The following is a 23,271-nucleotide window of genomic DNA, read 5'->3' on the forward strand; positions in this document are numbered from 1 at the left end:
GGCGCAGGTTGCAGTGAGCCAAGATCGTGCCACTGCATTCCAGCCTGGGCGACGGAGCAAGACTGTCTCAAAAACATAAATAAATAAACAAACATCAAATACAACTAATCGATGGGAGTAAGAGGAAAAGAATCAACTATTACTTACCAATATAGCTTCTAGTAAGGCAACAGTATCCTGACTTTCAAATTTCTTGTTGTTAGTGAACCAGTGAATCAGCTGCATAACTAGTGGCTCATACAGTTGCCTTGTCACCTGAAGAAACAATACCATTAAAGTTAATTCCCTTCATGTTAAAGAAATGTTACGCTGTAAAGGGTTCCATTTAAATGCCATTTGCAGTATAAAATTAAGTAATACTACTACCATGGTTGTATTAGTTTCCTTTTTTAGTTCAGGCTCAAGTGGTCCCCTCCCACCTCAACCTCCAGAATAGCTGGACTACAGGCATGTACCACCACACCCAGTTAACTTAAAATTTTTTTTTTGTAGAGACAGGGTTCCACTATGTTGCCTAGGTTGGCCTTGAACTCCTGGCCTCAAGTGATCCTCCTGCCTCAGCCTCCCAACGTGCAGGGATTACAGGTATGAGCCACCATCCCCAGCCCCATTAGTTTCCTTTTCCAGTTAAATTCCATGATGAAGAGTCCAGCAAAGAAAAATATGCAACAAAAGCTCATTGTTCCTCTGATTGGGAGGGCAATTTAGGATACATATTGTTGGCTTTGTAATACTCATCTTTATTCATTTGATCTTGAACGTGCACACAAGATATCCTGGATTACAGACAATCTAGTCGCTATTCAACTATTGTACAAAGCAAATAACAACCCTGTGGTTCCCCACAGCCTAACTGTCTCCCCTTGTGGTGACAAAATGAAACCCAATCAATGTCCTATATACACAAATTCAAAGCCAGTACCACAGGGGAGGAACATAGAAAAACAGATTTAATCTGTTTATATACAGGACAAAGAGGAAGCTGCCTCTCCCACTGCTGCCAAAAGGAGGGAGGAAAACCTCTATGGAGATAGGATGAAAAGGATCCTAGGTCTAATCTTCTGGAACATAAATAAAGCCTCTCCAGGGGCCAGGTAGCCCCGTGCTCCCTGGCTTTGTAAAATCCAAGATGTCTCCAGGTCTGGGCTCCTCCCTTATGACAAGTAAATCCATACCCAAGAAGGCAGAGCTCCTGTCTTCCTGGAGGCTTGGAAGTGTAACCTAGTGGCCTGGTGGAGGTGTGACCATGTGGCCATCTTGGAGCAAAAAGAGAAGTGGATCAGAGCAATTAGCTAGATAAACTGCTACAGATCTAACCCTCATTATACATGAGAGTAAAATGCTGGCCAGGCGCAGTGGTTCATGCCCATAATCCCAGCATTTTGAGAGGCCAAGTCGGGAGGGTCTTTTGAAGCCACTTCAAGACCATCCTGGGCAACATAGGAAGACCTTGTCTCTCAAAAAATTATTTTTTAACTAGCTAGGCACGGTGGTGCGTGCCTGTAGTCCCAGCTACTCAGGAGGCTGAGATGGGTGGATGGCTTGGGCCCAGGAGGTGGAGGCTTTAGGGAACTATGACTGCACTACTGCACTCCAGCATGAGTGACAGAGGGACACCGTGTCTAAAAAAAAAATTAAAATGGCCAGGCACGATGTAATCCCAGCACTTTGGGAGGCTGAGGAGGGCGGATCACTTGAGGTCAGGAGTTTGTGACCACTCTGGCCAAAACAGTGAAACCTCTTCACTAATAAAAATCCAAAAATTAGCCGGGTGTGGTGGTGGTCACCTGTAACCCCAGCTACTTGGGAGGCTAAAGCAGGAAAATCGCTTGAACTGGGAGGTGGAGGTTGCAGTGAGCCGAGATCGTCCCACTGCACTCCAGACACAGTGAGATTCCGTCAAAAAAAAAAAAAGTAAAATGCTTGTGGTGGAAGTTAAGGTGAACACTCCCTACACTGATATCCTGTACATTTCTGCCTCAGAGGCCAGGGCTTTTATAGGAGTACTGAGCCATCCAGGAGACCTTTATTCCCCACGGTTATTGAGCTCAACAATTAAGTACTTTGATATTAGAGGTCCATACTGTAGTTAATATCACCTCAAAAATGATGCAAAATGTCCCAGGGCTCAGACTAAACAACACAGAGACTCTTCCAAACAGTCTTTCTAGTCTTTGAAGCTATTTTTTTCCCCTAATACCTTCACTGGCCTCTATGAAGCAATTTTTAAAATTAATCAATATAAAAGGGTCTTAACTTTCAGTTTGAAAGTTTAACCTGGTCTTAAAGCATCACTTTTTTTTCCACAAAAGAATCATACTGGTGTTTTTTTTTTGAGACGGAGTCTCGCTCTGTCGCCCAGGCTGGAGTGCAGTGGCGCGCAGTCTCTGCTCACTGCAAGCTCCGCCTCCCGGGTCCACGCCATTCTCCTGCCTCAGCCTCCCGAGTAGCTGGGACTACAGGCACCCGCCACCACGCCCGGCTAATTTTCTGTACCTTTAGTAGAGACAGGGTTTCACCGTGTTAGCCAGGATGGTCTTGATCTCCTGACCTTGTGATCCACCCACCTCGGCCTCCCAAAGTGCTGGGATTACAGGCGTGAGCCACCGCGCCTGGCCAAGAATCATACTGTTTTATTCTTAGTACATAAGTTTTTTAATACATGTATACATAGCTATATATATATATATACACACACACACACACACACACACACAATACAGACATACCCCTTTATAGAAAATCATCCCTCTACAATCCTACATCCCAAAGGTAACCACTGTCGACTTTCAAAATATTTTATTTATATACCTTTTTTTTTTTTTTTTTTTGAGACAGAGTCTTACTCTGTCACCCAGGCTAGAGCGCAGTGGTGAAATCTGGGCTCACTGCGACCTCTGACTCCCGGGTTCAAGTGATTCTCCTGTCTCAGCCTCCCAAGTAGCTGGGATTACAGGCGTCCACCACCACGCCCGGCTAATTTTTGTATTTTTAGTAGCAACAGGGTTTCACCATGTTGGCCGGGCTGGTCTCAAACTCCTGACCCCCGGCCAATTTATATACATTTAAATATGTGTATATACACGTGTAAAAATAAAAATAAATCTGCCAAGGAGGCAGAGCTCCTGTCTTCCTGGAAGAAACCAGTAACTGGTTTCTTCTTAGAGTACTTTCCACGTAAACATATGCACTCTACCAATGTTTTCAGTAGCCACCCAGTACCTCAACTATGGACCACAACCAAGCTACCAGAACCCTACAGCTAGAAATGCAAGTATTTCTAAATTATGACTACCATACAGAGTGGAGAGTCCTGAGCACACTGTTTAAGCAGCTCTCTTGTAAGGAAGCTGCTAGGCCAGGACTGTGGTCACTCAATCCGAGCCCAGCTGCAGAGCACTGTGCCTGTGTCGCCCCACCAACCATGACACGCAGGGTCCTTTCCTTGTGCCCTTGGCAACACCAAACATTGTTCATCTTTTAAATATTTGACAGTAGCCAATATCATTTTAATTTGAAGTTCCTTGTTTACAAAACGGTTGACTATTTTAAGATACATTCCATCGGCCATTTACATTTCTTCTTTTATGAGCTGCCTATTTTTTTCTTTATACATTTGTCCATTTTAAAATCTGATCTCTTCAGTAGTATGTTGCACATTATACATGTTACAATGTTGGTTTTGTGCCATTCAGTAGTCTTAAACATTTATAAGGTCAAAACTATCAATACATTAACACTTTTATGTGTCTCCCTATCTGTACAAACTTTATAGAAAGACACAGAAGGATGCTGATTATAGAAAAGTAATGAAATCCATCCAAGGAGCAGAAATCACACTGCACACAGAAGAAAACGTTTTGAAATGCTACGAGTCTACTTTTTGTTAACAAAACATCTATGCACATGTCAAGATGTGTTATTATAAAGACATTCTCCAGACTTTACAGAGGATCTAACATCTTTTCCCAGGGAACAAGCAGGTGAAAGGGGTGACGTGAACGTTCATTTTTATCTTTGAACATTTTAATATTATAAACTGATGTGTTATCAACAAAAAAGACCTAAAGATATACACAGACAGATATGCTATGTGGTCATTACATTTTTCTGTAATTTATTTATAGTTCGTTTTTCCTTCTAAATCTTATTGATTTACAGTTAGTTTCTTCACTTGTGACAAAGCCCCTCTTCCTTACCCTAACTCTAGTCAGGCTCCTCTGAACTCTTCTCAACTAGGCCTTGATTTCTGGGCTTCCATGTTCATCTCTATTAGTCCAGTTTCACCAAGAACTCCGCTGAGTCAGTTCAGTGAAAACTCCTCCCCTTGATATATAATCTAATTCCTCATCTCCCCCCAGCCCCCAGGCAGTGTCTGGTCACCCTGGCCCATCTTCAGCCATAACACTCTTAGGATTGGTTTAGCCACAATCCTCTTTATGCCTGATGTTTCTTCTGTTGTGGGAAGTCAGGGACCCCACACGGAGGGACCGGTTGGAGCCGAGGCAGAAGAACGTAAATTGTGAAGATTTCATGGACATTTATCAGTTCCCAAAATTAATACTTTTATAATTTCTTACACCTCTCTTTACTGCAGTCTCTGAACATAAATTGTGAAGATTTCATGGACATTCATCACTTCCCCAATCAATACTCTTATAATTTCTTATGCCTGTCTTTAATCTCTTAATCCTGTTATCTTCGTAAGCTGAGAATGTACATCACCTCAGGACCACTACCGTACAAATTGATTGTAAAATATGTGTGCTTGAACAATATGAAATCAGTGCACACTGAAAAAGAACAGAATAACAGCGATTTTCAGGTAACAAGCAAGGGAAGATAACCATAAGGTCTGACTGCCTACAGGGTCAGGCAGAACACAGCCACAGTTTTCTTCTCATAGAAAGCCTATAGACGGATGTGCAAGTAGGAGAAATATCGCTGAATTCTTTTCCCAGCAAGGAATGACCCTGGGGAAGGAATGCATTCCTAGGGGTAGGTCTATAGACAGCTGCTCTGGGAGTGTCTGTCTTATGCAGTTGAGATAAGGACTGAAATATGGCCTTGTCTCCTGCAGTACCCTCAGGCTTACCAGGATTGGGAAATTCCAGCCTGGTAAATTCTAGTCAGATTGGTTGTCTGCCCTCGAACCCTGTTTCCTGTTAAGATGTTTATCAAGACAATCCACAGTGGGACATAGGCCCTCATCAGTAATTCTAATTTTGCCTTGCCTTGTGACCTTTATTGCCCTCTGAAGCACGTGATCTTTGTGACCTACTCCCAGTTCATATACCCGCTCCTCTTTTAAAATCCCTAATAAAAATCTGCTGGTTTTGCGGCTCGGGGTTGTCATCACGGTCCCGGGTGTAACATTTCTCTCTTTGTACTCTTTCTCTTTATTTCTCAGACCGGCCGACACTTAGGGAAAATAGAAAAGAACCTACGTTGAAATACTGGGGGCTGGTTCCCCCAATATTCCTCTTAGTTATTTTCCATCCACTGACCCTGACCCTGCTCCTTGGCTATCAATCCCCCTGGTCAATAAGTATTTGGAGTAGAGCCCAATCCCTCTACAGCAGTGTAAAGGCCCACTGGAGTAGCCTCCCCTTTAATAGTTTTCCTTAACATCTTAACGAATGTCATGAATAACTTTTTCTTTAACATGTTAGTCATTTGACCTAATACCATTTATTAAATGACCCATTTCCCACTTAAATAACCCCCTACCATAGACACAATTTTCATATACACACAAGGGGCCATTTCCCAGCACCTAGCTCTCCCACTGAGCCATCTGTGCGCTGGTTCAGCCTCTTATACTCCATAAGGCCACTTTTCAACATCTACTACACAAGACTCCCTCCAGCGTGCAACCCTTTCAAAATGTGTCTTGCTTATTAGGCTCAAGCAATTACTCCTTCAGATTATTCTTTTAAGTTCAAAAATAAAATTAATTCTGGATTTTTTACTGGAATTACACCAGAGTTATCAATTGATTTGGGGAAACGACGTTTTTTTCAATAATGACTTCTACCTCAGGTACATAAGCTATTCATCTTCTATAGTCATAAAATATGTTTGCCTGGCACATTGAAGTTTATTCCTAGACATTTTTTTTTTGATGCTGTTATGAATAAGATGTTTATAGACATATTTTCCAAGTGGTCAATACTAATATATGAAATATATGAGAATAATATATGAAAAAAGATATATGAGAATTATGTGTTTATAATTCATCAGCTTTTTCCTTTATTAATTCTTAGAGTTTATCAGCTGATATGCTTACTCTTGGGCCTTCCAGATTTTGAAAACAATTATAATAATCTTTTCTCCTTCTTAATAGTCCTTCTATGATTTTCTTATCTTACAGTATTGAATAGAATCTCCCAAATAGTTAGTGGGGCTGATATCCTAGCCTTACTGGCCCGCTGACAAGTGTCTTTTGATTGCCAAGTGCCAAGTGCTGGGGTAGATGCTGGAGAGGAAGCAAGGAACACCAGGCTCTGTCCATGCAGAGTTTAACTAACTCCAAGTAAAGCACTGACCACTCCCAGAAACAGGCCATGCTCCCATGCTGGGTGGAAGCACAAGGGAGTGTCAGTGCTTCACACAGAGGATGACCTGGCTGCAAGATTCAGGCAGACATTCTATCACATTAAACATCATGTGAAACTACTCCTAGTTTATCAGGAGCTGCCAAATGCCTTCCAGGCTTCCATGGAGAGGTTCATTGCTACGTTAAATCTATTTCTGTGGTAAGTTTCCAGTTTTCACTATGAGCTCTATTTAATCACAGTGCATCTGAACATACTGCTGGACTATATCCACTCATGTATACTGCAGAATTTTCCAGCTGCATTTTGAATGAGTTTTGCATTTCATTTTCTTTTTTAAGTGTGTACCCTGATATCCAGGTCATGCTAGATTCATAAAATGAACTGAGAAGATTTCTTACCTTTTTCTGCTTCATGGCAGCAGTGAAGGATTTGTCCATAAAGTCATAGTATAGGCCACTTGCCAGCCATAGCTATTTTTTATTTATTTATTTATTTTTTTTTTTGAGAATGAGTCTCACTCTGTCTCCCAAACTAGAGTGCAGTGGCGTGATCTCAGAGCACTGCAATCTCCACCTCCTGGGTTCAAGTGATTCTCATGCCTCAGCCTCTCAAGTAGCTGGGATTACAGATGCGCACCACCACGCCTAGATAAATTTTGTATTTTTAGTAGAGACGGGGGTTTTATCATGTTGGCCAGGCTGGTCTTCAACTCCTGACCTCAGGTGATCCGCCTACCTCAGCCTCCCAAAGTGCTGGGATTACAGATGTGAGCCACCGCGCGCGGCCCATGGTTATTTCTCTCTTCTTCCCTTTGTGAAAGACTACGTTTGTCCATGAGAGGGGTGACAGCTAATTCACCTTTAGATGCCTGGACTCTCAGTAACTTTTAACTACAACAGCGATTCCCAAACTCCGAGACACACTGAAAGTGGAGGGGAGAGCTTTTAGAAGTCCTGGTGCCCAGGTCATGCCCATGACCAATTAAACCAGAGCACCTGGGGTAGCAGTCAGGGAGCAGTATCGTTCCTAACCATCTCCAGGTAATTCCACTGCTCTGCTGACCACTGAATTAGACAAACCAAACTTTTAGAAATTTTACAACTATTTCAGATTCAAAGCCCTTACCTGATCAACATCACACGCAAGTCGAAGCAGCACAGGAAACGTCCGCTTATAGAGCTGGTACATGGGTGGGGCTCCCTGTCCCCCTTCTGGCATCTGCGTGGCTTTGCCCAACATAAACATAACCATGCTATGTAAAAGTTCACAGGCTGCAACCTAAAACAGACCAGGAGGTCAGCAATGTTTAAGTTATCACGTTGATGACAAGAGAATATTTGAAATGTCACTCAATTTAGCCTTTAAGAAGAAAAATTTCATTGCACATAACTATCATGTAACCCAAATATAAATTAACTGGAATTAACATTTCTTGTTCTATAAAACTAATGATTCTGTTCACTTTGTTTTTTTATCCAAGAACAAAGAATTAAAATGTAAAAGCTTTAGAAACTGGGAAGTATATTTCACTGTTGCCATATTAAAGAACTATATAACTTTGCTTCATCTGTTAGCACATTTTCAACTATCACTTTAAGTAAAAATATTTTTTGAAGCACTATAGAAAATTTACAAATTAATACACGCATACCTCATTTTATGGAGCTTTGGACACAATGTGTTTTTTAACAAATTGAAGGTCTGTGGCAACCCTGCATTGAGAAATTCTATTGGCTCAATTCTTCCAACAGCATGTGCTCACTTTGTTAGCATTTTTAAGCAATAAAGCATTTTAAAGTATGTATATAAAGTTCTAATGCTATTGCACACTAAATAGACCAGAGTATAGTGTAAACATAACTTTTACATGTACTGAAAAACCAAAAAACTAGTGTGATTTGCTACACTGAGATATTAACTTTATTGCTTTGGTCTGGAGCTGAACCTGCAGTATCACCAAGGTATGCTATGCCTGTATGAAAATTTGAGATTATCTGTTTCTAATCTCCCAGAGTTAAGGGGATAACCAAGCATAGCCCGAATATCACTCTCAAATGCCCTTTATGTTCCATTTTATATAATGAAGAGCTTTTGGTATATTAACGTTTTGAAAGGCAATTTTTTTTTTTTGAGACGGAGTCTCGCTCTGTCTCCCAGGCTGGAATCCAGTGGCGTAATCTCGGCTTGCTGCAACCACTGCCTCCCAGGTTCAAACGATTCTCCTGCCTCAGCCTACCGAGTAGCTGAGACTACACTCGCATGCCAGCACACCTAATTTTTGTATTTTTAGTAAAGATCAGGTTTTACCATGTTGGCCAGGCTGGTCTCAAACTCCTGACCTCAAGTGATCTGCCTGCCTCGGCCTCCCAAAGTGCTGGGATTACAGGCATGAGCCACCATGCCCAGCCCAATTACCTATTAAGATGATTTATACTTAACTTACATTTATCAATGACACTGACTTCTAATAAGTAAGTAGTTTTCTAATTACTATATTACAGAAAATACAAAATTACTAATATTGGAATGGCTGAAACATGTTCTCTATATCCTAAGCAATATGTATTTTTAAAGCAATAGGATCTAAATAATGGGTGAAATGAAAAATAGAAGTACTTTAGTTTGTCTGTCACTGGCTGTGAGCGCTAATTCTGTGACTCGAGGCAGGAACACATCCAGGAAAATGACAGGTTTCATCTCTCTAAAGGGCACTGCAAAGCTCAGCCGCTTCTCTCTGTCCCAGGCCACATAGCTCTTCATCATCTCATCTGAGGACGTGACTGTTAGAAAAGATTTAAGAAGAATGAAACACTTTTTTTCTTTTTATTAGTGTCAGAATTATTCACAAATCAAAACATTTCTAATGCCAGCTGTTCTACATTCTATTAAAGTGAAGCACTTCATTCATCTTTCCCTTTTCTTTTGCCTCAGATATGTAATTACAACATCAGAAATCACTCGATTTAATTTAAAGTAAAATTACTTTTAAACAAGCCTAATAGTCTCAAATGTTTAATATCCAAATTCAGTAAGAGTTACTTAAAGTATTTTGTAGAAGAAAGTCAATGAACAAAATTTTTACTTAAAAAAAAAATCTCTTTGAAACACTTTCCAAATACAGGCTCTAACTCCCTAAATAACCAAAAGTCACTGGTATATTTAACACCAAATTTCAAAAGTAAAAATACAGAGGAATTTTTACTAATCAAAAATGTAGACTTTTGGCCAGGCACAGTGGGGCATGGTAGCTCACACCAGTGATCCCAGCACTTTGGGAGGCCGAGGCTGGTGGATCACCTGAGGTCAGGAGTTGAAGACCAGCCTGGCCAACATGGTGAAACCCCATCTCTACTAAAAATACAAAAAATTAGCCAGGCATGGTGGCGTCTGTCTGTAATCCCAGCTATTCAGGAGCCTGAGGCAGGAGAATCGCTTGAACCTGGGAGGCGGAGGTTGCAGTGAGCCAAGATTGTGCCACTGCATTCCAGCTTGGGCAACAGAGCGAGGGGAAAAAAAAAAAAAAAAGCTGATTCTTTTAAATTAAAATAATAGAGACAGCTTCTTGCCATGTTGTTGCCCAAGCTAGTCTCAAACTCCTGAGCGCAGGCAATCTTCCCACCTCAGCCTCCCAAAGTGCTGGAATTACAGGCGTGAGCCACCACACGCAGCCTACTAATCAAAAATGGTAATTCTCATTTGGAAAAATTTCTAAAAATATCATAATATTAACAATATTGGATCTCAAAGAGATTAACTTGGAATTCCCGACACTAATATGGAAAAGAGTATCAAATTACATTGTTTCAAACTGGATAACATGCTTAACAAGTCAAGCTAGAACATATGTTCTACCAGTATACTGAATTATTCCAATTTTACGGATACAGTCAAACCATTAGGCAAGATATTATTCTTTATAATCTTATTTAGAAATATATAAATCACATATAGGAGCAAATATTCAGAATATATTATGACCTGGATACATCCAAATAAAAGCACAAATATATCTACAGAGGTTATTTATTTTAAAAGAAGTTTACCTGTCAGAAGATTTTTGTTTATTTGTCCTCCTAGAGATCCAAGCATTTGTACTACTCTAATTCTTATTTCTTCTAAGGATATTGCTTCGTTCTGTAAATTTGAACAATTGTATATATGTGATTACAAATGGGTTAAAGATTAAATAGAAGACATAGGAAAAAACTCTTTGCCACCCACTTGGATGTCCATTTCCTAGAACCGCAGTTCCAAACTTTTTGGCAGGATCCTTTCCACTCTTAAGAAATATCAAGGACCCCCAAAGAGCTGTTTTATGTAGGTCCTGTTTATCAGTATTAATGACATTAGAAATTGAAACACAGAAACTATGTAAATAGTTAAACTACTAAACCCATTACATGTTATAAAAAGTAACTATATTTTTCAAACAAATGAAACTCTGGGCAAAGTGGCCATTCCACAGTAGTGCAGATCCGTTTACAGTGTAGCTCACTGGGAGACAGTTTGGTCCTCACACCGATATTGCAGTTGGAAAACCAGGCAAGAAATTTTAAATAGTCTTTTTAGCTAACTGTAGTTATTCTTCTTTGATATCACACCAAAACTGAACCAGCGTAGTTTCTTAAAGGTTAGTTACAATGTCGAATCTGAATTCTTATCATGAACTCTACGTACTCTACTATGTTAAAATCCAGTGGCTGATCTTGCACTTTGAGTGGATTTTTCATCCATGTATAATTTGGAAACATCATGTATTCCTCATCTGAAAATACTGGTTCACTGGATTGTGCAGATATTCCAAATGTTGACACATTTCATTATATATGCAAAAAATCACATAAGCAAATATCACCACCAATCTTATTAGAAAAAAATCTTAGGCTGGGCGCAGTGGCTCACACCTGTATCCCAGCATTTTGGGAGGCCAAGGTGGGCAGATCACGAGGTCAGGAGTTCGAGACCAGCCTTTCACCAACATGGTGAAAGCCCGTCTCTACTAAAAATAAAACAATTAGCCAGGCGTGGTGGCACGCACCTGTAATCCCAGCTCCTCAGAAGGCTGAGGCAGGAGAATCGCTTGAACCCAGGAGGTGGAGGTTGCAGTGAGCACTCCAGCCTGGGCAACGTAGCGAGACTCCATCTCAAAATAAAAAAAAAAAAATCTTTAAGTAATGAGAAGCTATCAAACTTACTGCAATAGTTACAAGTTCTCCAAAACTTTACAGTTCACTTAAAAGCTTAAATTTTATCATTGGCAACAGATTTTCAGAAGTTTTCCTCAAAGTGGCAGGCTCGGTTCATTTTAGAGAAAATGTCTGCATATATCCACCTATGAATAACCTCAGTGTGCCTTTCAGTTGTCATTTCAATAAAAATTGTGTCCACAAAGCAGTGGCTACTTCAGCTCCCAGTTCAAAGCACCACACAGTGCTTTTTCTCCAGATAGCTGTCACACTTTTCTACGCAGGCCTGCTTCAGGTGCACCTCCTGCCTCACACACGGAGTATTTTTAAAAATCTGTGCTCAGAGTCAACGCTAGAGAATCAACAGTGTTCTCCATCATAATACCGTGGTGCAAATTAACGGAGTAAAAATAGCTTTGGCCTTGCACCCTGGATCCCCCAGGGGTCACAGTTAGAGAACCATAGTGCTAAGGAACAGGCATTGTGTATCTGTACAAAAATTTTGGCAAAGCACAGTGGCACACGTCTGTAATCCCAGCATTTGAGAGGCTGAGGTGGGCGGATTGCTTAACCCCAGGAGTTCAAGACCAGCCTGGGCAACAATGCAAAACCCATCTCTACGAAAAATACAAAAATTAGCTGGGCATAGTGGCACATGCCTGTGGTCCCAGCTACTCGGGTGGCTGAGGCGGGAGGATCACTTGAGCCTGGGAGGTTGAAGCTGCAGTGAGCTGAGATCACACCAATGCACTCCACCCTGGGTGACAACATGAGATCCTGCCTCAAAAAAAAATTAAATCGATAAGAAAAAAAGAAATTTTATTTGTAAAACTAGAGATATATTTATTTTATCCTGCTGTGCCATAAAATTATAAAAACTTTTATGCCGCCATTTCTAGTTTCATTCTAGTCTCTCAATCAAAAGATGCCCAAAATAATGAGGTGAGAAGAACTGACCCTAGAGTTTGCATTATCAGTTTTAGATGTTAAAAGTTTTTCAAATTTTAATTCTTACTTCATTCCAAAAATAGCTATTTTCCCTATTCTAACTCAATTTTCTCTATTTACGTCATATTTTACTATCACATCGTATGGCTCATCTCGAGAAAACTTGCCCCAAGGAATTATCACCAAAAAGCCATAAAAGAACAAAAAAGAAAACTGGAACAAACTGAACCTGATAATATGACATATTTAAGATCTAAGCATAAATGAAAGTCTTACATATCCCTGGTATCAGTATTCTGACTTGCTTATTTAATATGAACCAGTTTACCTTTTATTATCCACTAAATACATTTGAGGGCAGGAATGAACAGAAAAACAAGACCAAAAAAATAAACAAAACAGTTAATATAGTTTATATTTTCATAGCTAAAAATATATTAATTTTTTTTGTCAGGCCACTCCCATTGCCCAGGCTGGAGTGCAGTGGTGTGATCTTGCTCACTACAGCCTCAACTTCCTGGGCACAGGTGATTCTCCCACCTCAGCCTCCCAAGTAGCTGGGGCCACAGGCATGCGCCACCACACCCAGCTAATTTTTTGTATTTTTTAATAGAGACAGGGTCTTCCTATGTTGCCCAGGCTGAGCTCAAGCGATCCACCCACCTCACCCTCCTAAAGTGCTGGGATTACAGGTGTGCGCCACCATGCCTGGTCAATATATTAAAATTATTTTTATATTGTACTCTACTTTGTATACAAAAACAACTAACATTTTAAATGAAGATTTTTACTTTTCACAAGTGTTAGAATCTGATCTCTGCATTATGTAAGGTACAGAAAATACAAAGGACTTCTTACTGATGAAAGGTTCTTTGTCTTCTTCAGATGCTTTAACACCACTTTATTAAATCCTTTCTGGGCAGCCCGAGAAAGAGCTGACACTTCCCAGTTATTCTTGGTCTCATCTATCAATAGTAAACGAAAATAAATTTAAAATAGCACTCATTCATTCATTTAATGTACATTAGAGGCAACAAACTATATTGTCAAATAGAAACATTAAAATCCTAAATTATGATTTAAAAAAATTAAGTTTCTAAAACAAAAAATATAAATGGTGGTTGCTTTTAAACATCACTGTCTGCCAAAAGGAACATGGCTCCTTGGGAAGTGTCTGACTCCAGGGTCGAGAAGAGCATGAATCATCTCATGGAGCAGGAGTGGCTCCCACGCATCACACTCGGGCCAAATCTGGGACAATGTGGGCTTCAAAACCAATCATGATGGCAAAAGATTAGACCCACTGAAAAAATAAGAATCCACAAATCTTACTAATACAGATAAATAAATAACGGGGAAAATTGTTTCTTGCAGTAGAACATCAACTAGGATGAAAGAAATGATGGGGGTAGAAAATCACCATTTTGCAACCATCAAAGTAATACCTGATTCAGAAGAATAGTCAGTGGATACTAAAACTATTATGGTGAGCTTGATGAGGAACAAGACTATTTACAGTGTTGAAGTACCCCGAATAAATTCCTTTTTTTTTTTAAGCAATCATAAACTTACAGAGGATGGAGAGTATATAACTTCTTTCCTGAAGCACTGAGGGTAAGTGACCGACTCAACACCCCACTGCCCCGAATGCTTCAATGTGTGTTTTCCACAAGGACAGTCTCCCACACAACTGCCACACAACCATCCAAACCAGATTATCAACATTCACTCCTCAGCACCACTCCGAGTTCAGCATTCACCTAAGAATGTTTTTAATTCAGGACAGCATATTGCACTTAGTTGACCTATCTCTTTAGTCTCTTTTAGACTGAAGCTGTTCTTCAGTATTACCTTGCATTTCATAATTTGGACATTTAAAAAATCATATGCCAGTAATTTCATACGTGGTCTCTCCATATGCATTTGTCTAATGTTTTCTCATGATTAGACTCAGGTTATGGGAACCAGTTGTAACATTTTACTATTTCCTTTATTAACTGCTGAATTAAACTTTGACACATGTTCATTTTTTCTCTGCAGAGTCATAGTTCTACAACTATAAAGTCATTTCCAAAAGTTCTGAGATGTCCAGTGCATTCACTGACACAGCCAGGTGAGCTGCGCCGCGGGAGGGCACCTGCCGGTGGTTTAACTCCAGCAAGTCTTCTCTTGGTTCCAGAATGAATCCCTGGCAGTGGGATCTTAGCTCTGCTCTCTCTAGCTAGTTCTTTTCCTTTCTATAAGATGTTAAAGAGTTCTACTCTCTGATGGGCCAGAGATGATAAGAGAATCCAGTTTTTAGTGGTTTTTTTTTTTTTTTTTTGAGCTCCAATAAGTTAAGAATTTTTAGTTCACTGGAAAAAACAGATCTTTGATATCTGGACTATTCAGCATTTTCTATGTCTGTTGGGGAACAGGCCCCCAAATCTGGCCATAAACAAAATCTCTGCAGCACTGCGACATGTTCGTGATGGCCATGATGTCCACACTGAAAGTTGTGGGTTTATTAGAATGAGGGCAAGGAACACCTGACCCACCCAGGGCAGAAAATAACTTAAGGCGTTCCTGAACCACAAACAATAGCATGAGGCATCTGTGCCTTAAGGACATGCTCCTGCTACAGATAACTAGCCAGAGCCCATCCCTTTGTTTCAGCCCATCCCTTTGTTTCCCATTTTAGTTAATCTATAATCTATAGAAACGATGCTTATCACTGGCTTGCTGTCAATAAATATGTGGGTAAATCTCTGTTCCTGGCTCTCAGCTCTGAAGGCTGTCAGCCCCCTGATTCACCACTCCACACTCTATATTTCTGTGTGTGTGTCTTTAATTCCTCTAGCGCTCCTGGGTTAGGGACTCCATGACCGAGCTGGTGTCGGCTATGTCTGTATCTCCTGGTTTTTGGCTCAAATTGCAGAACTGAAACTATTTACTAAGCTCTCTATGTGTCTTTGCAAGTATGTGTCTATAATTAACAAAGGCCTATATCTAATTTTGTGTATAATGTTCTCCTGTATTTGGGGGGTATTGATAAATTAGATTATAAAGTCTCTTAAAGGAGCTCTGTCCTGATTTATACAGATATGTAAATTGAGTATTCCTAAAATTCTCCAAAAATAAGGAAGTTGAACTAACAGTGTTTTAAATGTGCTAGATTTTAAAAATCGTACAGAAAACAATTTGGGATCATTTAGGAATATTCACATAATTAAGGCACATCTGTGGTAAAGAGACAAGTTTAATATTTTGGTTTAAATAAATGTATTTTATCTATCAGTATTAAATATAACACGAACATGCACTTTATTCTACTTGTGTTTGTTTTCCCTATAGTTATTCCGGCTAATAAGCTAACATTACTTCTCATAACGTTTTTTAAAACTGTGGTGTAATATACATAACATGAAATGTACTCTTTTAACCATTTTTAGGTATATAATTGAGTGGCATTAATTACATTCACAATGTTGTCCAACCATCACCACATCCATCTCCAGAAATTTTTCAACATCTGAAACAGTCCCATACAACTTTTAAGATTATGAAAAATGTGGCTGGGCACGGGTGGCTCACGCCTGTAATCCCAGCACTTTGGGAGGCCGAGGGGGGCGGATCACGAGGTCAGGAGATCTAGACTATCCTGGATAACATGGTGAAACCCCCATCTCTACTAAAAATACAAAAAAATTAGCCAGGCGTGGTGGCGGGCACCTGTATTCCCAGCTACTCGGGAGGCTGCGGCAGGAGAATGGCGTGAACCCAGGAGGTGGAGCTTGCAGTGAGCCAAGATCACGCCACTGCGCTCCAGCCTGGGCGACAGAGCGAGACTCCATCTCAAAAAAAAAAGAAAAAAAAATGAAAAATGTAATAAGTTTATGTCCAACTAAATTGAATCATTATCTGGGTAAACTTTTTATTTCCCAAGTAATTACGTTGTGCAGCATGCCAACTGGAAGATAATCTCTATTATCTTTAGGCAATTTGCAACCTTGGACTGACTGAGTTAATGGATACTTTGGATGGTTGGGTACTTTGATAATTTCTAAGGAAAATATTAATAGAATACTGAAATACTGATGAAAAGGCACAATTTTTGTGTTTATGTGCTTTTCCTTTTTGCTTTTATAGGCCGTTGAAGGTAGGAGCCTTGGGTCATGCTAACAGGCACGTGCATGCTGTCTCTTGGGGGGCTGCAGACAGTGGTATCTGTGAGCTCCATGAGTCTGACATACTGCTGGTGTGTAAGGCAATTCTCAATTTCCCACTCCAGTTTTCTACGTGAAACATGAGTTTAGTAATTATATAATTAACAAGTGGTTGTGTGGCTATATTAGAAGAATAGTACAGAAATACAATTGCATGCATGCTTTTGATTTTCTTTTTGAGACAGAGTCTTGCTCTGTCACCCAGGCTGGAGTGCAGTGGCACAATCTCCACTCACTGCAACCTCCACCTCCTGGGTTCAAACAATTCTGCCTCAGCCTCCCGAGTAGCCGGGATTACAGGTGTGTGCCACCACACCCAGATAATTTTTGTATTTTTAGTAGAGCCAGGGTTTTGCCATGTTGGCCAGGTTGGTCTCGAACTCATGACTTCACGTGATCTGCCTACCTCGGCCTCCCTAAGTGCTGGGATTACAGGCGTGAGCCACTGCACCCAGCCTGATTTTTCATTTTTCTTGGATTACAGGTGTGAGCCACAGCACCCAGCCTGATTTTTCTTTTTTCTTTCTTCAGAAGGGTCTCACTCTGTCACCCAGGCTATGGTGCAGTGGTGCAATCATGACTTATTGCAGCCTTGACCTCCCAGGCTTGAGCAATCCTCCCACCTCAGCCTCCCAAGTAGCTGAAACCACAGGCGTATACCACCACATCCAGCTAATTTTTAAAATTTTTGTAACGAAATTAGCCAGGTGCAGTGGTGCGCACCTGTAATCCCAGCCACTTGGGAAGCTGAGGCAGGAGAACTGCTTGAACCCGGGAGGCGGAGGTTGCAGTGAGCCAAGATCACGCAACTGCACTCCAGCCTGGGTAACAGAGCGATATTTCGTCTCAAAAAAAAAAAAATTGTAAAGATAAGGTCTCCTTATGTTGCCCAGACTGGTCTCGAACTCCTGGCCTTAAGTGATCCTCATCCCTCGGTCAATCAAAATGGTACGTGGGATTACAGGTGTGAGCCACTGCACCCAGCCTGCTTTTCATTTTTAAGTAAGGAGGGTAGTTCCTCATAAAACAGTGAATCTCAGACATTTTCATGTCTGGATCTCTTTCCAGAATTAGGACTGACCCCATAAATCTTTGTTTTGTGGGTTAGAACTAGTAGCAGTTACTATATTGGAAACAGAAATAATGTTTTAAAGACTTATTGATTGATTTGGAGGTCATGTTAACATGCATAACATCTCTGTATTTCAATGAGAAGAGTTCTGATCTCCCAGACACCCTGGGAACTGGTGTTTGAAAGTTGTGTCAATTGGTTTCAGAATATGAAAGGACATTAACACAGGACAAATCTCGGAAAGCGACTATCTGAGCCTAAAAAGATAGTATGAGATGAGTTAAATTTTTAGCAAAGGTCACTTAATCTTGAAAAGTTTGCTTCTTTGGTTTACTGATCAAGGACTTTGCCTGTACCATGAGAAGTCATTCTTTTTTTTTTTTTTTGAGATGAAGTCTCACTCTGTCGCCCAGGCTGGAGTGCAACGGCGTGATCTCGGCTCACTGCAACCTCTGCCTCCCGGGTTCAAGTGGTTCTCTGGTCTCAGCCTCCCAAGTAGCTGGGATTACAGGTGTGCGCCATCATGCCAGGCTAATTTTTTTTCTTTTTAGTAGAGACACGGTTTCACCATGTTTGCCAGGCTGGTCTCAAACTCCTGACCTCAGGTGATCCACCCAAGTTATGGGATTACAGGCGTGAGCCACTGTGTGCAGCCAAGAAATCATTCTATGTAATCTGCCAAGACAGCAAAGATTCACTGTCTTACCAGAAAAATTTTCTGAGCTTTACACTGACTTCACTGTCTGAAAAAGGAGATTCAGGCCATGTGTCTTTGACAGAAGAGGCCCAGAGTGGCACTGAGTTCCCCTCAGCAAGTCACATCAGGATGCACGTGTGGCCCACAAGTCCTACTGCTAGTCAGTGGGCAAAGAAGGGCTCTACCAGGTGTCTATGCTGTAAAATCACCATTTTCACTCTCAATCATTAGTACGTGTTTGGCTGAGGTACTTTAAAACCATGGTACTTCAAAAAGTGCCATGCTGGCTGTGAAGGTGTAGGGGCCACCTAGGAGGACACTCAGAGGCCTCCAGGAATTGAGAATCATGCTCCAGCCGTCAGTCAGCAAGGAGACAGGAACCTTGGTCCTCCAATCACATGGAACTGAATCCTGCCAACAACCTAGATGGGGAGTGAACAAGCCTGGACTAGCCAACACCTTGAATTCAGTCACATGACTTAACAGAGAACCCAGCTGAGCCCATTTGGACTTGTGTCCTACAAATCTACGAAATAATCAATGGGTGCTAATTTAAGCTAAGTTTATAAGAACTTATTACACACCAAACAATCAAACAAAAAAAACCACTAGGAAACTTTAACTTACTCATTTTACTTATTTATATCTGCACATGCTCACTGCTTCCTATTTGATTACCTGGGTTATAACGTTTCTAAAGTTATTTATTTTGATGCTCAAGTCATCACTACTTTTGCCTGTGACATTTCCCCCATCATGCTTTGAATAGGTCCTTACTTTCCGGATGTTCTATAAAATACAGTATTCTAAGTTCATAATATATTTTCCCGGCCCCAGGTTGGAACCAAGGAGTCCTGGTTCCATTAATGGAAAATGAGGTGTGGGTCTGGGCATGGTAGCTCATGCCTGTAACCCCAGCACTTTGGGAGGCCGAGGTGGGCAGATGACTTGAGGTCAGGAGTTCGAGACCAGTCTGGTCAACATAGTGAGACCCCCATCTCTACTAAAAATACAAAAATTAGCTGGGCGTGGTGGTGCATGCCTGTAGTCTCAACTACTTGGGAGGCTGAGGTGGAAGGACCACTTGAGCCCAGCAGGCAGAGGTTTCAGTGAGCCAAGATTGCACCACTGCTCTCCCGCCTGGGAAACAGAGTGAGACTCTGTCTCAAAATAATAATAATAATAATAAAAAAAAGGAAAATGAGATTTGGAGGCCATGACCTGGGTGCCAGGTTTGCTTGTTACTATTCAGATACCACACTCCTAGAGGTCCCTTCAGTGGCCAGAGTACATGTAACACACAAACACACACTCTCTCTCTCTCAGTTCTATTTTCACATTTATTTAGATGCATCCATAAGTGAATGCACATATATAACTGGGGAGAGGCAGAGGGAGACGGAGGACCATGGGTTCACACTGATATACCCACTTCCAATGCAACTCCACAGTGTCCATTCCAGTTTCCTGTCTTTCTGTATTTGTAGCTCACTTCAACATGAGAAACCTAGTTTCCCTTATTCTCAATGAATTTATGTATTTGTTCAATCTCCTGTATGTAACCAAACTACTACCTCCATCGCCCTTCTCACCCTGCCTGCACCCCAACATCCCAGACAGCTGTCCCAACACGTGGGTGCCTCATCTGGCTTGGGTAAACCCCATGCCAGGCCACCCCATGGGGGATGACCTCCTCACACCCTTGGGAGCACCTGGGACCTCCCCCTGCCCAGCATCTACCTTCCTCTGTACCACCTAAAGGCCTCAGGACTGATCACTCCAGAAAGTGGAGCATGGAATGCCTCAAATTACTAACTCACACAGAGAGAAAAACAGTAACCTGACAACCACAAAAAGATGATGCAAACACTGACCAAATGGTTACAGTGGAAACAACCAGCAAAGGCACCAAGTGTCCTGAAGAGAACCCAGCGTCTGTCAAAAAGGCACAGCCCAAAACTCATCAAGAGGAAACATCAGACAAACCCACATAGAAGGACACTGTACAAAATAACTGGCCTGCAGCCTTCAAAATGTCAAGTCATGAGAACTAAGAAAGGTTGAAGAACTATCCCACATTAAAGAAAGCTAAAGAGTTACAACTAAAAGTAACACATGATCCTACACTGAATTCTAAACCAGGAAAAATGCAGCTAAAAAAAGAAATTAATAGGGCAAGTGAAAAATGTGCCTATTGACTGTTACTTGGAAGAATATGTATCCATGTTATTTTTCTGGATTTTGATAATAATACTGTAGTTACGTAAAAGAATGTCCTCACTCTTAAGAAATATACAATGAAGTCTTCAAGATCTATGACACCTTCGGCTTATTCACAAACGGTTCCAAAAAAAATGTCCCATGTAAATATAAAAACATGCACAAACACACAATAGAGAAAGTACATGCAACAACATAAATGGTACAAAATCTTAATAACTGGTGAATCTAGATAGAACACATGGAGTTCTTTTTACTGTTCCTGCAATTGTTCTGGAAGTTTGATACATCAAAAAAAGTTATTAAAACACTAACTTCTGTCTCTAACATGATAGATTTTGTTTTGTCACCTAATTTTGCTTACTTTCTGCTTTTCTCAATTATCGAATCATCTAGATAGGGTACATGTTTAACAGGCAAATCCTTTAAAACAATCACAGTAACTTCCTTTACTAATCTAAAACTTTTCAATGAGTTAACAGAACTCAAAAAAGAAAATTAAATACTATAAAGATATATGCTATCAGATATATTCATTTTACTAAGTGATGTATTTGTCATGAATACTCAAATAATGGCACTCCTTATATAAATGTGAATTTTAAAAGCTATAAAGGTTAACTAGTTTGTAATTTTGGTCTCTAAAATATGCTTGTTATTACAATCTGTAAAAAAATCGTGACTCTTTCTTCATGAACTCTGCATATGCACTGAGGATGTCAGAAAAAGGAGACACAGTGCATGAAATCTGTCACACAACTTTCACTTAATGTTTCCAAGCCAATAAGATTTAACAATAAAATAATGATTTACACAGGTAAAACCTCACAATTTTTTTTCTGTATTTCTTTTTTTGGCCTCATGAAGAAAAAAACCTTATAAATTAATACTTGACTTCTACTGTGAAGATAGTAAAGCTTAAATTCTTACAAATACTTCAGTCTTTCTCCCAACAGAATCTTTTTGCTTGCATCGGATGACAATGTCTCTTTTCATTCCAGTTTAAGTCTGTGCCCCACCCCAACTCTGAAGTCCTACTTTTTCTTTTCTTGACTAGTAATATTTTGACCTGGGCAGATAATTTTTTTCTTTGACTCTTTTCCCAAACCTGTTTTTTCTATGATGACATTTTTTTCGCAATTCTTAGCTACCATTAGTGTGCTTCACCAGTTATGTTTTAAAAAGCAATAAAAATCTAGTGAAAGTAAAAATACAAAATTACTGTTGAATTTTCTGAAGTGTTTAATTCCTGACTGATTTATTCAACAAGTTTTTTTTGCAAAGCAGTGTATTAGGAGTCATAAAAATTTCAAGGTATTGAAGACAGTACTTGTCTTTGAAGATTTTATAAATCTTAGTAAGCTATAAGTGAGTAAATGAAAAATTTTTTAATACCTCAACTATATTTCTTTATCACAATTAGAGTCAGATAAATTAGGGAAATTACAAAAATAGCAATCAAACATATTTTGAACACACTGGGCTTAAATTTCAGAAGTTACAAAAATACAGTCCTACCTATTATAGTTACTCCATTTCCATTTTAATTACAATACACATCACAATTCTTCTAAACATTACCTGACAAGGCTGAAGTCTTCAGGTATCCATCCAGGCAGGGGAGAATGTCTTTGTAATAAGGCTGCATTACATGTCTGTCAATATAAATTGACCATTCTTCTAGAGCATTCAGGCCTACTTCTGCCAAGGGGGTATAGCTCAGGCCCAGTTTGAAAGCCATCTGTATGTTAATACAAACAAGTTAAACTGAAACGCAGGAAATATAAGATTTAGAGGAAAAAAACACCAAGTAATTGTGATTTCTAATTAATACTCCTTTTTATTACTGGATGCCCGACACCGCTGGAGAGTTCAGTCCAGGTAATTAGGAGGAAAGCAAGCAGCTGTCTCTGTGGCTGTGGTATACCGCAGCCTTTCAAGGCACACAGGTTTAACTCTCACATCGACCTCCAAGTGCAGTTCAGAGTCACCAAGGGTCTAAGTCCCAAAGCCAGTAAGTGGCAGAAGCAGACCCTGACCCGGGCACGCCTGTGAGGAAACGCCTGCTGGGACTGCCAGGGCAAGAGGATGGTGTTTCTATGTGCTCTGGGACTCACAACAGCGATGAAGAGATGGCTCTGTTCAAGACAACGCCTACCTGCAGTGCAGGAACGTAGGCTCTAACATCGAGTTCAATGATGTTGTGTGGCAAGGACAGAAGAAAGGTCAAACAAGAGGCCAAAAGTTCATCTTTGTACTGCTTCATTTTAACTGCCACCTTAACAAGAAAGAAGACAGTAATGTATATCTGAATAGAGCCTACATTTGAAAATCAACTAAAAAGTATTTGCCCTATTCTCAAATACAAAAATTGGCACGT

At 40.4% G+C, this 23,271-nt stretch overlaps 1 protein-coding gene across 2 annotated transcripts in view, besides 1 other annotated feature; it reads right to left on the reverse strand.

The window, feature by feature from the left end:
- Positions 1-23,271, reverse strand: part of PRKDC (protein kinase, DNA-activated, catalytic subunit) — a 187,026-nt gene that overhangs the window by 131,611 nt on the left and 32,144 nt on the right. For both annotated transcript variants that reach the window (NM_001081640.2, NM_006904.7), the window contains exons 20-26: positions 23,050-23,169; positions 22,473-22,632; positions 13,556-13,662; positions 10,607-10,697; positions 9,180-9,343; positions 7,689-7,841; positions 148-255 (exon numbers count right to left, since the gene is read on the reverse strand). In NM_001081640.2, coding sequence (NP_001075109.1) covers positions 148-255; positions 7,689-7,841; positions 9,180-9,343; positions 10,607-10,697; positions 13,556-13,662; positions 22,473-22,632; positions 23,050-23,169 — 903 coding nt within the window. The remainder of the gene's footprint in view (positions 1-147; positions 256-7,688; positions 7,842-9,179; positions 9,344-10,606; positions 10,698-13,555; positions 13,663-22,472; positions 22,633-23,049; positions 23,170-23,271) is intronic.
- Positions 18,790-19,290: an enhancer, noted in NCBI's record as "H3K27ac hESC enhancer chr8:48836071-48836571 (GRCh37/hg19 assembly coordinates)". NCBI's record gives its function as "activates a minimal SCP1, AML or CMV promoter by ChIP-STARR-seq in primed H9 embryonic stem cells {active_cell/tissue: H9 hESC(primed)}" and the evidence as "EXISTENCE:reporter gene assay evidence [ECO:0000049][PMID:30033119]".

This window comes from Homo sapiens, chromosome 8 (assembly GCF_000001405.40).
Source record: "Homo sapiens chromosome 8, GRCh38.p14 Primary Assembly".
Lineage (NCBI taxonomy): Eukaryota > Metazoa > Chordata > Mammalia > Primates > Hominidae > Homo > Homo sapiens.